Raw genomic sequence first — 12,298 nt, forward strand, 5'->3', positions numbered from 1 at the left:
ACGAAGGCCTGCTCAAGCCCGTCTCCTCCAGGACTTCCCTGACCACCCTGGGCTCCCATCCTCTCCTCCTGTATTTCCTCCTAAGTCTGTAAGCGCCTGACCCCTTGGTCCAAGTTTCAAGAGTGCAGGGGACTTTGTTCATTAATTGTACCCCAAGAATTTGGCCCAGTTCCTGCTACAGAGTAGGTTCTCAATAACTACTGAATGAAATGTTTTCTAACATGGCATCTCCTGTACTGCTATTCAGTTTTCTCTAGTGCAGGCCTGATTCTGATTTCCCTAGACGTGAAATTCGCTGGGACAAGGACTAGATCCTACCCATCTTTTTATCTCTACCACTCGCTCTTCTGCTTAATACTTATTTAAAGGGGAAAGAAAGGAAAGACAGTGAATTCAGGGCATTGACAATCCAGAAAGCGTGGAGGTGGGGGTCAGTGAGTAGAGAGTTATTTGGATTTCAAGGGTGTGGGTAATCCTGGAGAGGAACAAGCTACTATATTTATTTGCCTACGAATTTATTTATACCTGCCTCCTTCCAGAAAGGGTTTGAGGTGGCTGACAAAAATACACACAATACAAGGTAAAAAACAAGTCGCTGAGGAAATCAGGCCGAGAGGAAAATAAGAGTAGGAAAAATAAGATCGAGTCGGCTTGCTACAAGTGGGCCAAAAAGTTGGCCAAGTTTTCCACAGCCCACTCGAGGCGGAAGTCCCTCTCCCCTCCCCGTCTCAGGGGCGGCCACACGTCCCACACGGACGGGGAGAGATGTACCCGAGAGAGAGGGCGGACAGGACCCTCTCCGCACCTCCCCAGCCGCCAGGCCGCCAGCCCGGTGCCCGGGCCTAGCAGCCTCCGCGGCCTTGGAGAGCGCGAAGTGGAGGGGCGCGCGGCTCTGGGGGGCAGCCCGAGCCCAGACCTGGGTCCCAAGGTGCTGGCGGGGAGCCTGTGACCTGGGACGGGGTGCTGGAGGCTGAGGAATCGCGCCTCCATGCCACGCCGCAGAGGTTCCCGCGCTCGAAACCGAACGCCCTCCAGCCACCACCACTCACGGCCTACTAAGCGCGCGCTCCGGGCCCAGGGCACAAAGATGGAGGGAGCGGCGCGATCCACCCGCCCCACCCCCACCCACCAGACAAAGGGGCAGGCCGCCCCTCCCCCAGCCTTCTTCGCGGGCCCCGCCGCCCTCTGCTCCCCTCCCCTCGGGCCGCCCTTTGGTGACTTCCTTTCCCCTCCAAGGGCGGCCCCGGGACTTCTCAGGAACTGCGTTTCACCTGGACGTGGGGCGGGGAGCCGGCGCGCAGAGGGCGGCCTCCGGGCCCACCCCTAGGCCGAGCCGGCCCCAGGCCCGCGCCCTCCCCTTTGAACCCGCGCTCCCGGCCCCTGGCGCCTTCCCGCCCAGGCGCCCCCGCCCCCACCCGGTCAAGCACGTGCTGCCCGGGCCCCGAGCGCTTCCCGCCGCACGGGTGGGGGCTGGGCCCACCCCCCGCCCGCTCCCCACCCCCACCGGAAACATTCCTGCCACATTCCTGCAACTGCAAGGCCCAGCCCGCCGCTCCCCACCCCGCCTCCGCGCCGGGCCCAGGGCTTTCCTGCGTCCCCTCCACCGCCGGCTCGCCCCCTGAGGAGGGGGCTGGGCCAGGGCCTCGGCTGACCGGGGAGGAAGAAGGGGAGCAGAGAAAAACATGAGTCACAGCCGTGTGTCACTGGAGCGCATTTCAATTCCCTGCATCACAGGAGGTGTGGAAGGCCGCCTCGGGGACCGGGCGCGGGAGGTGCGCCCGAGAAGGCCCCGGGCCGGCCTGCAGGGCGCGCCGCTCCGCCTGCGCCCTTTCCTCCCCCACCGCCCTCCCCGCCATCTTCCCCTTTGGCTTCCTTCTCGCTCGGTGCAACAAGTCTTTGTTAAGCCGGGCGCCGGGCGGGCCAGGCGTGGCGGAGATGGCCTGCGTGCTCGGCCCCTGCCCTCAAAGCGCTTCCAGGCGACCTCTGGCCCACCTTTTATTTTTATTTACAGTCCCAACGGAAGGGCCCAGGTCCCCAAGTGGGCCTGCGTATCTCCAGAACACCATCTAAGTCACCTCAAGGTATGAAGCCTCCCTTGGGTGTACCTGCCAACGAGCCAATCGTTGGTTTCGCTGGAAGGCTCCACCTTGATCATGGCTCGCTGGTGGCCATTAATAAAACACTTTGGATTTCACAAGTTTCACGTTTGAATTTCACAAGACTTGTATCTCACCAATCAGCCACACGCGGGTTGACACTGAAAGGCACATGCTGACACCTGTCCGCCCAGGGGAAATCTACCATCTCTCTATTTTAGTTAGGGGGCGGCGTGTAGGCCGCGGAATTCTCTAACGAGCGCGTTTCTCTTCACCCCCTGGGCCCGCGTGGACCCCCGTCCACCCCCACACGCCCTGGGGGGGGGGCCGGGCCCACACGCCCTGGAAGCCCCTAGAGGTGACTCTCCCTGGGACCCCTGTACCAGGGAGGAAGGATACCGCCACCCGTCACCACCCCCCGCCAGAAGCTCCTTCGTGACTCCTCTGCGCGTGCCTTCCCACACCTCCTCCGTCCGGGACTGCGAGGAGTGGGCGGTCGACTCGAGTTCGCAGCCCAGGCCTCCCACACGCCCCTCCCTGCCGTCAGCACCCACCCGCGCGGCAGCGGCGGCGGCGGCTGGCGGGCGGCCGCCCTTTTAAATCCCCGGGCTCATTTGCATGGCCCCGCCCCCTGAGTGACACGGCTGGCGCGGGCGGGCCCGTCCCCCCTGCCCCTGGGTCGCTCTTTTTAAGCTCCCCTGAGCCGGTGCTGCGCTCCTCTAATTGGGACTCCGAGCCGGGGCTATTTCTGGCGCTGGCGCGGCTCCAAGAAGGCGTGAGTTCGCGGCCGCTCCGGTGGCTTCTTTTTTTTATATCTATAATTTAATTAAATTATTTATTTATTGAGGCCGCGCACGGGCCGTGCCCAGCTTCCTGCCCCTCGCCATCCTTCGGGGGAGGGGGAATATTTTTGTCCCCCCGCCTGGCTGTGACACATAAATACCCCGCGGGGGCCTGGGCGGCGAGCACGCGGCGGCGGCGGTCTCTGAGCGCCTCTGCTCTCTCCCGGTTTCAGATCCGCATTTGCTACCAGCGGCGGCCGCGGCGGAGCCAGGCCGGTCCTCAGCGCCCAGCACCGCCGCTCCCGGCAACCCGGAGCGCGCACCGCAGGCCGGCGGCCGAGCTCGCGGTGAGTCGTCCCCGGGGCCCGCGGCGGCGGCGGCGGAGGGGGGCGCCCGCGCCCCCGCCCGCACGTCGCCCCTCCTGCGAGCCGCCCGGGGCTGCAGCGCGCGCCGCCGGCTTTATTCCCAGGCCGGGGCGGCGCGAGCCGGCGGCGGGGGAGGGCCGCGCGGCGCGGGGGCGGGCGGCGGGGCCCGGCGGCGCGGGGAGGACGCCCGCACCCCTTCCCCCGCGCCGCGGGCGCCCTGCGGGGGGCGGGGACCCGGGAAAGGCGCGCGGTGGGGGAGGGGGCGCGCAGCTGCGGCGAGCGCGAGTTGTGCACCCGGCGGAGCCCGGAGGAGCCCGGCGCACCTCGCGCGGCGGCCGCTCCCGCTGGAGCCGGAGCCCGAGCCCGAGCCCGGGCCCGGGTGAGGGGCGGGGAGAGACACGGGCTGCGGCGCGGCAGGAGAGTGGGGGGTCGGGCGCCCCCCGCAGCTCAGGGAAGTTCTGGAAGTGAGGGAGATGGGGAGGAACCCCCAAATTCGGCCCTACGCCCTCTCGGCCTTTCTCTCGCGCCCCCTCCGCAGATGAGGCCGGAGCGCGGGCCTGGGTTTGGGGCTTCACCCCGACCCCACCTCTGGCCTGGCCCGCGCCTCTTCAGCCCCAGGGGCCGGGCCTGCCCTCCGCCCCCACAAACTGGTTTCGCTGCTTTGCTGGGCTCTGTTGGAACTAGTCCCTTTGACTCCCCGTTTCTATTTTATTTTCTTCTGGGGCTTTATTTTGCGGGGAGGGGACGGAGGGAGGGGGCTTTCTTCCTCTCCCCCGCGCCCGCGCGCGCCAGGTTTCCTGCCCCAAGGCGGGCTTGGGTGCCCCCTCTGGCAGGAAGTGGGGCCGGGTGCACCCGCGTGGCGGTGCATGCGGTCGGGGTGCGCTGCTTTCCCGCGCCTGCAGGAGCGGCCTGCGCCCCTCCCCCCGCGCGCCCTGGCCCCGGGTCCCGCCGGCCGGCCTGCAACGGCCGGGCGCAGACACTTGCAGAGTCACCCTCGGGCCGGGTCTGGAGCCTGATGCCTCGGGGGTTTAGCCCTAGCCGCTAGGCGGGTAGGCAAAGTGTCGGGTTGAAAGGGTCTCCGGGAACCTACTTCTTCCTGCTCGCCAACTTGCTGTGTGACCTTAGGCAACTCAAGGCTTCTCTGGGCTACTTTTTTACGGGGGACGGGGAAGAAAACAAGGGAACCCCCAAGATAATTTCCTAGGGCCTTTCCTGCAGAGTCCTTAAGTATTTGAGGAGCACAGTTTGCATGCACAGTGTATGGAGGAGACAGGCTTGAGGCCCAAGCGGGCTTATTACAAAGTGAGGGATTGGGGTTAGGCCCTAAATGTAGTTCCTCCAAGACAGGCCTCTGATGTTCAGAAACAGGTGGAAAAGACGAACGTTTCTTGGCCTCACTGGAAAGGGCCTCGGGCCTTCATTTAGTTCGTGGGGGGTTGGCTGAGGGGATTAAAGGGTCCCCAGCAGCAAGAGGTGGGGGGAGGCACCAGATGGTATGAGAGCTTCCAGGGAGACCCGCCAAGATCTCCAGGCAGGCCGGGCCAGGCTCTCTGGGATTCCGGACTGGCTTCGCCCAACTGGAACCCCCTCGATGAGGGGGCCCCAGGCAGACCTTATATGAGGTCAGCACTCGTTTAGTTGATTAATTTTGATGTTTAGTTTGAAGGGGGACCTGTGGTGTAATATAAGATTCTAATCACTGCCTGTAATTGCAGAGCAGGCCAAGCCACTAATGACGGAGCAGGATAAATCACCAACCACCTTGTTTAAAAGGGTCTCCAAGTCTGAAACATTATAAGATAGAATAATTACCAAAGTCCTGCTGTCTGGAGGGTCTCTTGATGCTTGAAAATGGAGGTCCTGGGCCCTCTAGAAATCACAAGTTTGCAAAAATGTTTTTTTCCTCTCATTGGGGTAAAAACTCTTTTTCTTCTTTTTTTTTTTTCTTTTAAATTAGACATGGGAGTCCCACCGTATTGTCCAGGCTGGTCTCGAACTCCTGACCTCAAGCAGTCCTCCTGCTTTGGCATCCCAAAGTGCTGGGATTACAGGCATGAGTCACCTCACCTGGCCCATAAATCATTTTCAAATGGTCTAGTTCTTATTTTGGTTAGAGTGAAGATTTCTTTCTATTATTTTAAGTTTTTCTAAACTATTACCTAGTTTGATCCTTGAAGCAGTCAGGAGGTAGTTCAGGCAGGTACCTTATAATTACCTTGATCTTACAGATTGAGAGGGGTTCAGAAGTGGAGCCGCTTGTCCCACCCCTTACCATGGCAGGCAGGGATTGGTTACTGGAAAAATGTGTAGCCTAGGCCTCCGGCGTCTCATCCATCTGTAGCCTGGGGATAAGGACTAGGATGAAGATGTGGAGGACTGTCCTTTTTAAGCCTGTAATACAGGGTATTCCCAAATACAGGTTGCAGGCCCTCCTTCCAATGAGAAGTTTTAGGAAAACTCAAAATTGATGGGGTTAATTAAACCCCAACAGGCCTCTAAGAAGAAGGAAGATGCTAGAAAATGACCAAGAAGGTTTTAGGATGAGCCCTAAACCTCATCCTAAAGGATGAGGGCCAGCCAGGGTCTGTTAGGCGGTGCATTTCAGTTGGAGAATTCCCTACCCATCTGACAAAGTCCCATCTGACTCCAGTTGGGCAGAGGAGGGGTAAGGGGAAAGAGGAGGGTGGCCTTTGGCTTTGGGCTCACTTTCCTCCCCCACCTCACCCACTAGCTTCAACCATCTCCTCCCTCCCTCAATTATACCAATCTGAATTCTCCAGGGATTTACCCTGGGTGAGAACAGAGAAGAGAGCTGGTGGTGGGCACCACCCCTGGCTGTGTGATTGGCTCTTTTTGGTCCTGAGTCTTGCACCTTGCCAGATAGGCAATATTGTCAGTGAGGTGGGCAGGGGATCAATGTCCATAGCTGCCAGATCGCAAGGTCTCATTCTTTCCATTTTCCCACTGAACTGCGTAGGCTGGATTTTCTCTTAAAGAGAAAGGGCAGCAGTTGACTACAGAAGGAGGGGATGCTGGCAATACGTCAGATCTCACCTCCCCACACCTTTGTCCCAGGGTGGCCTCACCCATGTAGCTAGGTCTGGGCTGGCTGTACCTCCTGGGACCCCCCCCACCACGCTGCACTGGGGCGGTGTTAAGGCAGGACAACAAAGAGCCCTTCTGAACAGGAGATAGATAAGAAGCTGATTAGGGCCAACGGCCCTTCCCCGCCCTTGGCAGCATCTGGGGGTGGGCAGACCCCTCCATCCTGGGCAGAGTAGGAGGCCTGGGGGCCCATGGGAGCACAGTTTTCTGCAGTGTGCCTTGAAGGTGTGGGTGATGAGGGGGTAGAAAGTGGCTGAAGCGAGATGTTTGTCTAAAAGCACTTTTCTGTCTCCCAGCATCCCAGCCATCACTCTTCCACCTGCTCCTTAGAGAAGGGAAGATGAGTGAGTCGAGCTCGAAGTCCAGCCAGCCCTTGGCCTCCAAGCAGGAAAAGGACGGCACTGAGAAGCGGGGCCGGGGCAGGCCGCGCAAGCAGCCTCCGGTGAGTCCCGGGACAGCGCTGGTAGGGAGTCAGGTGGGTGTCCAAACCTTTGCTTCACTTGGTTTACCCTTTGGGGCTAGGGAGGTGCCTGGAGTTTCATTCAGCAGGCGAGACCATGCATGGAGGGTGCAGAATGATTCTGCGCAGTAAGCGTGTGGGTGTGTCCTCCCACCTGTGTGTACTCCTGCCCCACTTGCAACCCTGGTCAGATCTCTATAGAGACCCCAGGAGAGAACCGGGGGCCGAGGAATTCAAGATAAATTCTGAAGCCAATGGCAAACAGTCCAAACCTAAAGCACCCCAGAGGTCACATGGCCAGTGCTTAAAACACTCGCCTTTTTCTTAATTTCCAATCCACTGTGGACCAGTAATTTTAAAATGCAGTAAAGACGAATGAACAAAAATGAACATAGAAGCCCAGGGTTTTTAATCATTAGATTCAGTGCACGTAAAATGATTTTTGTCAATTTGCTGTAAAGTTGCTGAATACTTATGGTCGATTCTTGTACTTCCTCATCCCAGGTGAGAAACGGGTGCCTGCGTGGGCCAGCACCTGTTTGTGCACAGGCCAGTTATGAGTAGTTCTGGAATGGGCATTGCCCCTGGCTCTTTAGATGGAAATTGAAGCCCAAGAAGTCAAAAATGTTGGGGAGTTGGTGGCAGTGACCCTCAGAACCCTGGTGCTGCTCTCCCCACAAAGTCCTCATAGAAGGATGAGGCTGCCAGCCTGGCGCTGTGGGGCACCCTAGGGAGCATGGCCATTTGGGCATGGGGGGGACCCCATATTGGCCTCTTACAGAGGCAGCTGTCACCCAAGTGAAGGGTGGCTGTTGGTGAAGCCCAGTTACTTCCCTTCCCTGGGAGAGAGGTAAGAGGAGTTGAGTTCGACCTCTGCCCCTTAAACATGATACAGGTTGTTCACCTGCAGGTTTTCCCTGTCCGTACGGTGGAGAGTGGTCTGTGCTGACCTGGGCCCAGGGAGACACGAGCTGTGAGGAGTCTGCTGTGTTGGAATTCAGAGCCTGGGGTGGGGTCATTTGTCCTCTTAGCCTAGCTCCCTCAGCCTCCCCTCCTACCCCACCTGTTAGCCATGGTCAGTGGGAGGTGTCAGGAGGGGTGCAGGGTTACTGGACCCTGGTTATAGACAGACCATGGGCGGCCCCCTAGGAAACAGTAGCTGGCGCGCCTTCACCACACACCTTATATGCATTATGCAGCAGCTTTTTATTCTATCTACGGCTTATTAAAATTTCAGTGGGAATGATGGCAGGGATCTCTGGAGTCCGGCTATAATTCCCCTTCTCTGGGGGCAGCCTGGATGGGCTCCAGGTTTGCAAGTGCAGGCAGGGAGTGTGTGTCCAGCATAGGTCATCTGAGAGGGTGGGCAGTGATCATGGCCCAGTGCTAGATAACCATACATTACCCATTTAATCTCCATGACACCCTGCAAGGGAAGTCTTCACCATTTATAGATGAGGAAACTGAGGCTCCAGCATTAAGTGTCCCACCCAAGATAAGTGTCAGAACTGAGACTTGGGCAGAGCCACCTAACTGTCTTTCTGTCCCCAGAATGCCTTTCCTAGGGGTCTTCTGGGCTCTTGTCATTTTGCATCTTAGAAACCTGCAGGGAAGCAAGGGGAGAGGTGGGAGGCACTTTGCAAAGATGCTCAAACTGGAGCTTTGGATCCTGAAGGGATTCCTAGGTCAGGGATGGTTTGTGGTTCTTGGTTCTTGCTGACTTAACCTTGTTGAGGAGGCAGAGGGCTGTGTCTTCTGAGGGGGTGGAAACAGGTGATGACTGTCCCTGACTACCCCCTCTGTCTTTACAGAAGGAGCCCAGCGAAGTGCCAACACCTAAGAGACCTCGGGGCCGACCAAAGGGAAGCAAAAACAAGGGTGCTGCCAAGACCCGGGTGAGACTTGAGATGGGACTACCCCTGGGTGGATGACTAGCAGAGGATCCTCTTGTTGGCACCATGGCCACGGCTGTGGGGAGGTCTGGGAAGGGGCTCAGTCATCTCAGTTGTGTACCCCCTTCCCTGGTACAGGGATGGCAGTGAGTCTTTGCTAACTGGGGAGAGTGGGGCGATGACTAAGGTCTTACTTCTGGGGGGTTGGTCCTGCCCAGGACACTGCGGAGATCAGGTCAGAAGTCCCACAGCTTTCCTGATCTAGAGAAGGGCAGAGTGGGGAGAATGGAGGGTCCCTGCCAGTCCCTGGGCTGAGAATGTTACCTTCTCTTGGGGTTCCCTGGAGCCTGAAGGGGTGGGGACAGGCAGCAAAGGCCAGATTCACAGTGACATTAGCCTTTCAGAAAAGTTGTTTTGTTTTTTATTTTATTTTTTCTAAGACACGACTCATATCCTCTGAGTCATGGGCGGAGGTGGGAGTAGGGGGCGTGTGTGTATGTCGAGGGGGCAAATGTGGCTGGCCAGTCATTGCCAGCTGGACTTGGGTGGGCCTGTTGGGTGAGAGTGTTGGGTCACCCTGAACAGGCAGGTAGGTCTGCCCCCCATCACTATTGGGCATCGGGTGAGCACTGATGAGCATTTTGGACTTAGGAGATATTTTCTCTAACCCTCTAGAAAACCACCACAACTCCAGGAAGGAAACCAAGGGGCAGACCCAAAAAACTGGTAGGTGAAGAAGCAGACTGCTGCTTGCCTCCTGGGCTCTTTTGAGTTGAGGGTGTTGAGTACACAGTACCTGATGCTATGCACCCCCTATGGAAAGGCTCTCCTTGACCTGCTGGGACATCAGATTTTACAGAAGTCCAGAGAGGGGAAGGTACCTGGCCTGGGCTGTGCCCATGAGAAGTGAGGGGTCCCAGGTATAAATCAGACCACATCCCCCTGCCCTGCCCTGCCCTAGTTGTGTGTGGGGGTCCCTCCCTCTCCTGCTCCTAGAATACTCAGAACTTCTAGGGGAGATCTTGGAAGTCATCTAGCCTGTGTCCCCCTCAATTAGAGATGAGGAAAGGAAGCCATAGGGGGAAGGTTTGTCCTTCCTATGAGCCTCTGCAGAAGAGAAACAGCGAAGGAGCTGGGCCCTGGGAGGGGTCGGTGCTGGAGTTCTGATGTGACCCACCACACTGCACTGGAGGGCACCATCCAATTCTGGGTCCCCAAACAGCTGGTGGAAAGGCTCGGTGGGCTGAGTCAAGAAGCTGCCTCTAGGGGGCCACTGCAGTTAGGGTCACCCCAGCCTTCCAGCTCCTGGCCCTCTCCTACCCCCAGCCTGCCCCCTCAAATCCCTGAAGCTGTCATTCCTTGAGCTGAGCCACTGCTGGGGTGGGGGGGTTAGGGGGTGCTGCTGGCCAGGCCCCAAGAGTGAGTAACAGGAAACAAGTTGTTTTGGAGTTTGTGCCTGGCACGGGGGCTGTAGCCCCGTGTGGTGTCCCGACATTCCCGCCCAGTGAGTGAGCCCCGGCGGCACACACTTCCCCTTCCTCCCCACCCCGGCCTAGGGTCAGCCCTCGGCCACCCCGGAGGGCCAGGGCACCACAGCACAGCATCTGCCCCTGTGGGCCAAGGACCTGGTTCCCCTGCACCCACCAGCGGGCTCTTGCACCTTCCAGCCACCCCTTCCCATTTCCTCCCCCAGCCACCTCTTCCCCCACCTCCTCTTCTCCCCTAGGGAGTCAGTCACATCCTGAAGCTCATTGCTGCCCTGAGCTCTGCCCTCCTGCCCTCCCTGGGCCTGGGGGCCAAGGGGGCTTGGCTCCTGGCTCTGGGTGAGAGCAGCATGTGTGTGGGGTTTTTTCCTCCTTTTAAATTCTTTTTATGAATGAAGCCGGGCCGTGGAGGTTGCTGAGTCACCCACACACTCAGCCCTGACTCATCCCTCTTCAGGAGAGCCAGGGAGTGCAGGGAGCGGGTGGGGCCAGCCTCTGGGGGTGGAAGAGGGGGACCGGGCCAGAGCTCACACCAACAACTGCCCACCTCACAGGAGAAGGAGGAAGAGGAGGGCATCTCGCAGGAGTCCTCGGAGGAGGAGCAGTGACCCATGCGTGCCGCCTGCTCCTCACTGGAGGAGCAGCTTCCTTCTGGGACTGGACAGCTTTGCTCCGCTCCCACCGCCCCCACCCCTTCCCCAGGCCCACCATCACCACCGCCTCTGGCCGCCACCCCCATCTTCCACCTGTGCCCTCACCACCACACTACACAGCACACCAGCCGCTGCAGGGCTCCCATGGGCTGAGTGGGGAGCAGTTTTCCCCTGGCCTCAGTTCCCAGCTCCCCCCGCCCACCCACGCATACACACATGCCCTCCTGGACAAGGCTAACATCCCACTTAGCCGCACCCTGCACCTGCTGCGTCCCCACTCCCTTGGTGGTGGGGACATTGCTCTCTGGGCTTTTGGTTTGGGGGCGCCCTCTCTGCTCCTTCACTGTTCCCTCTGGCTTCCCATAGTGGGGCCTGGGAGGGTTCCCCTGGCCTTAAAAGGGGCCCAAGCCCCATCTCATCCTGGCACGCCCTACTCCACTGCCCTGGCAGCAGCAGGTGTGGCCAATGGAGGGGGGTGCTGGCCCCCAGGATTCCCCCAGCCAAACTGTCTTTGTCACCACGTGGGGCTCACTTTTCATCCTTCCCCAACTTCCCTAGTCCCCGTACTAGGTTGGACAGCCCCCTTCGGTTACAGGAAGGCAGGAGGGGTGAGTCCCCTACTCCCTCTTCACTGTGGCCACAGCCCCCTTGCCCTCCGCCTGGGATCTGAGTACATATTGTGGTGATGGAGATGCAGTCACTTATTGTCCAGGTGAGGCCCAAGAGCCCTGTGGCCGCCACCTGAGGTGGGCTGGGGCTGCTCCCCTAACCCTACTTTGCTTCCGCCACTCAGCCATTTCCCCCTCCTCAGATGGGGCACCAATAACAAGGAGCTCACCCTGCCCGCTCCCAACCCCCCTCCTGCTCCTCCCTGCCCCCCAAGGTTCTGGTTCCATTTTTCCTCTGTTCACAAACTACCTCTGGACAGTTGTGTTGTTTTTTGTTCAATGTTCCATTCTTCGACATCCGTCATTGCTGCTGCTACCAGCGCCAAATGTTCATCCTCATTGCCTCCTGTTCTGCCCACGATCCCCTCCCCCAAGATACTCTTTGTGGGGAAGAGGGGCTGGGGCATGGCAGGCTGGGTGACCGACTACCCCAGTCCCAGGGAAGGTGGGGCCCTGCCCCTAGGATGCTGCAGCAGAGTGAGCAAGGGGGCCCAAATCGACCATAAAGGGTGTAGGGGCCACCTCCTCCCCCTGTTCTGTTGGGGAGGGGTAGCCATGATTTGTCCCAGCCTGGGGCTCCCTCTCTGGTTTCCTATTTGCAGTTACTTGAATAAAAAAAATATCCTTTTCTGGACTGGAGTCTCCTGTGGTGTGTGCCCCTAAAGCCTGGGGCAGGTAGGATGGGTGACACTTGTGTTCTGGCCCCCATCCTTCAGGCTGCAGGAAGGGAGGGGAAATAGCACTGGAATCACCTCCGGGGAAGGTCATTTTAAGCCTCTTGATGAAATCAAAA

The 12,298-nt window shown here is 59.0% G+C and overlaps 2 protein-coding genes and 1 non-coding gene across 14 annotated transcripts, besides 17 other annotated features; all 3 read left to right on the forward strand.

The window, feature by feature from the left end:
- Positions 222-845: an enhancer, noted in NCBI's record as "NANOG-H3K27ac-H3K4me1 hESC enhancer chr6:34202091-34202714 (GRCh37/hg19 assembly coordinates)". NCBI's record gives its function as "activates a minimal SCP1, AML or CMV promoter by ChIP-STARR-seq in naive H9 embryonic stem cells {active_cell/tissue: H9 hESC(naive)}" and the evidence as "EXISTENCE:reporter gene assay evidence [ECO:0000049][PMID:30033119]".
- Positions 846-1,469: an enhancer, noted in NCBI's record as "NANOG-H3K27ac-H3K4me1 hESC enhancer chr6:34202715-34203338 (GRCh37/hg19 assembly coordinates)". NCBI's record gives its function as "activates a minimal SCP1, AML or CMV promoter by ChIP-STARR-seq in primed H9 embryonic stem cells {active_cell/tissue: H9 hESC(primed)}" and the evidence as "EXISTENCE:reporter gene assay evidence [ECO:0000049][PMID:30033119]".
- Positions 1,293-1,382: a silencer, noted in NCBI's record as "silent region_17062". NCBI's record gives its function as "represses an Ori minimal core promoter by ATAC-STARR-seq in GM12878 lymphoblastoid cells {active_cell/tissue: GM12878}" and the evidence as "EXISTENCE:reporter gene assay evidence [ECO:0000049][PMID:35858748]".
- Positions 1,470-2,093: an enhancer, noted in NCBI's record as "NANOG-H3K27ac-H3K4me1 hESC enhancer chr6:34203339-34203962 (GRCh37/hg19 assembly coordinates)". NCBI's record gives its function as "activates a minimal SCP1, AML or CMV promoter by ChIP-STARR-seq in naive H9 embryonic stem cells {active_cell/tissue: H9 hESC(naive)}" and the evidence as "EXISTENCE:reporter gene assay evidence [ECO:0000049][PMID:30033119]".
- Positions 1,563-1,612: a silencer, noted in NCBI's record as "silent region_17063". NCBI's record gives its function as "represses an Ori minimal core promoter by ATAC-STARR-seq in GM12878 lymphoblastoid cells {active_cell/tissue: GM12878}" and the evidence as "EXISTENCE:reporter gene assay evidence [ECO:0000049][PMID:35858748]".
- Positions 1,693-1,942: a silencer, noted in NCBI's record as "silent region_17064". NCBI's record gives its function as "represses an Ori minimal core promoter by ATAC-STARR-seq in GM12878 lymphoblastoid cells {active_cell/tissue: GM12878}" and the evidence as "EXISTENCE:reporter gene assay evidence [ECO:0000049][PMID:35858748]".
- Positions 2,094-2,715: an enhancer, noted in NCBI's record as "NANOG-H3K27ac-H3K4me1 hESC enhancer chr6:34203963-34204584 (GRCh37/hg19 assembly coordinates)". NCBI's record gives its function as "activates a minimal SCP1, AML or CMV promoter by ChIP-STARR-seq in naive and primed H9 embryonic stem cells {active_cell/tissue: H9 hESC(naive and primed)}" and the evidence as "EXISTENCE:reporter gene assay evidence [ECO:0000049][PMID:30033119]".
- Positions 2,094-2,852: a biological region, named in NCBI's record as "NANOG-H3K27ac-H3K4me1 hESC enhancer GRCh37_chr6:34203963-34204584".
- LOC124901225 (translation initiation factor IF-2-like) lies at positions 2,154-4,288 on the forward strand. The gene is made up of 5 exons (XM_047419608.1): positions 2,154-2,164; positions 2,483-2,638; positions 2,790-2,871; positions 3,112-3,225; positions 3,323-4,288. The coding sequence occupies exons 1-5, from the start codon at positions 2,154-2,156 to the stop codon at positions 4,286-4,288; spliced, it is 1,329 nt and encodes a 442-aa protein (XP_047275564.1).
- Positions 2,293-2,582: a silencer, noted in NCBI's record as "silent region_17065". NCBI's record gives its function as "represses an Ori minimal core promoter by ATAC-STARR-seq in GM12878 lymphoblastoid cells {active_cell/tissue: GM12878}" and the evidence as "EXISTENCE:reporter gene assay evidence [ECO:0000049][PMID:35858748]".
- Positions 2,593-2,852: a silencer, noted in NCBI's record as "silent region_17066". NCBI's record gives its function as "represses an Ori minimal core promoter by ATAC-STARR-seq in GM12878 lymphoblastoid cells {active_cell/tissue: GM12878}" and the evidence as "EXISTENCE:reporter gene assay evidence [ECO:0000049][PMID:35858748]".
- HMGA1 (high mobility group AT-hook 1) lies at positions 2,781-12,139 on the forward strand. Of its 12 annotated transcripts, none has more exons than NM_001319082.2 (6): positions 2,781-2,891; positions 3,112-3,225; positions 6,645-6,823; positions 8,620-8,703; positions 9,376-9,426; positions 10,739-12,139. In NM_001319082.2, exons 3-6 carry the CDS (start codon positions 6,689-6,691, stop codon positions 10,790-10,792), a joined length of 324 nt encoding a protein of 107 aa, NP_001306011.1. In that variant the 5' UTR covers positions 2,781-2,891; positions 3,112-3,225; positions 6,645-6,688; the 3' UTR covers positions 10,793-12,139. The 12 variants fall into 12 exon arrangements, with proteins under 12 accessions (NP_001306011.1, NP_665906.1, NP_001306009.1 ...); NM_145899.3 differs by having other exon boundaries at positions 2,781-2,871; NM_001319080.2 differs by having other exon boundaries at positions 2,781-2,871; positions 8,623-8,703.
- Positions 3,103-3,252: a silencer, noted in NCBI's record as "silent region_17067". NCBI's record gives its function as "represses an Ori minimal core promoter by ATAC-STARR-seq in GM12878 lymphoblastoid cells {active_cell/tissue: GM12878}" and the evidence as "EXISTENCE:reporter gene assay evidence [ECO:0000049][PMID:35858748]".
- Positions 3,473-3,762: a silencer, noted in NCBI's record as "silent region_17068". NCBI's record gives its function as "represses an Ori minimal core promoter by ATAC-STARR-seq in GM12878 lymphoblastoid cells {active_cell/tissue: GM12878}" and the evidence as "EXISTENCE:reporter gene assay evidence [ECO:0000049][PMID:35858748]".
- Positions 3,953-4,192: a silencer, noted in NCBI's record as "silent region_17069". NCBI's record gives its function as "represses an Ori minimal core promoter by ATAC-STARR-seq in GM12878 lymphoblastoid cells {active_cell/tissue: GM12878}" and the evidence as "EXISTENCE:reporter gene assay evidence [ECO:0000049][PMID:35858748]".
- Positions 6,581-6,644, forward strand: MIR6835 (microRNA 6835). The gene has a single exon (NR_106893.1). It is a non-coding gene; the product is annotated as a microRNA 6835 (primary transcript).
- Positions 9,234-10,433: an enhancer, noted in NCBI's record as "P300/CBP strongly-dependent group 1 enhancer chr6:34211103-34212302 (GRCh37/hg19 assembly coordinates)". NCBI's record gives its function as "activates an origin of replication core promoter dependent on BRD2, BRD4, P300/CBP, MED14 and CDK7 cofactors, with strong dependence on P300/CBP, by STARR-seq in HCT116 cells {active_cell/tissue: HCT116}" and the evidence as "EXISTENCE:reporter gene assay evidence [ECO:0000049][PMID:35650434]".
- Positions 9,586-10,426: an enhancer, noted in NCBI's record as "H3K27ac-H3K4me1 hESC enhancer chr6:34211455-34212295 (GRCh37/hg19 assembly coordinates)". NCBI's record gives its function as "activates a minimal SCP1, AML or CMV promoter by ChIP-STARR-seq in naive H9 embryonic stem cells {active_cell/tissue: H9 hESC(naive)}" and the evidence as "EXISTENCE:reporter gene assay evidence [ECO:0000049][PMID:30033119]".
- Positions 10,531-10,675: an enhancer, noted in NCBI's record as "145 bp enhancer 296 fragment used in the MPRA reporter construct; PK_construct_3398". NCBI's record gives its function as "activates an SV40 promoter by MPRA in HepG2 cells {active_cell/tissue: HepG2}" and the evidence as "EXISTENCE:reporter gene assay evidence [ECO:0000049][PMID:23512712]".
- Positions 10,598-10,608: a transcriptional cis regulatory region, noted in NCBI's record as "NFE2L2 motif; enhancer activity is reduced when this motif is scrambled". NCBI's record gives its function as "necessary for full MPRA enhancer 296 activity {active_cell/tissue: HepG2}" and the evidence as "EXISTENCE:site-directed mutagenesis evidence [ECO:0005528][PMID:23512712]".

Source organism: Homo sapiens, chromosome 6 (assembly GCF_000001405.40).
Source record: "Homo sapiens chromosome 6, GRCh38.p14 Primary Assembly".
Classification (NCBI taxonomy): Eukaryota; Metazoa; Chordata; class Mammalia; order Primates; family Hominidae; genus Homo; species Homo sapiens.

Excerpts from the sequence above, each read along its gene's own strand:
- LOC124901225 (XM_047419608.1), top strand. Across the intron at positions 2,639-2,789 it reads CCCACACGCCCCTCCCTGCC|CTCCCCTGAGCCGGTGCTGC; the intron begins GTCAGCACCCAC and ends GCTCTTTTTAAG. Across the intron at positions 3,226-3,322 it reads GGCCGGCGGCCGAGCTCGCG|CGCGCGCCGCCGGCTTTATT; the intron begins GTGAGTCGTCCC and ends CCGGGGCTGCAG.
- HMGA1 (NM_145901.3), top strand. The coding sequence starts at position 6,689 with ATGAGTGAGTCGAGCTCGAAGTCCAGCCAGCCCTTGGCCTCCAAGCAG. Across the intron at positions 8,704-9,375 it reads AGGGTGCTGCCAAGACCCGG|AAAACCACCACAACTCCAGG; the intron begins GTGAGACTTGAG and ends CTAACCCTCTAG. Across the intron at positions 9,427-10,738 it reads GGGGCAGACCCAAAAAACTG|GAGAAGGAGGAAGAGGAGGG; the intron begins GTAGGTGAAGAA and ends CCCACCTCACAG.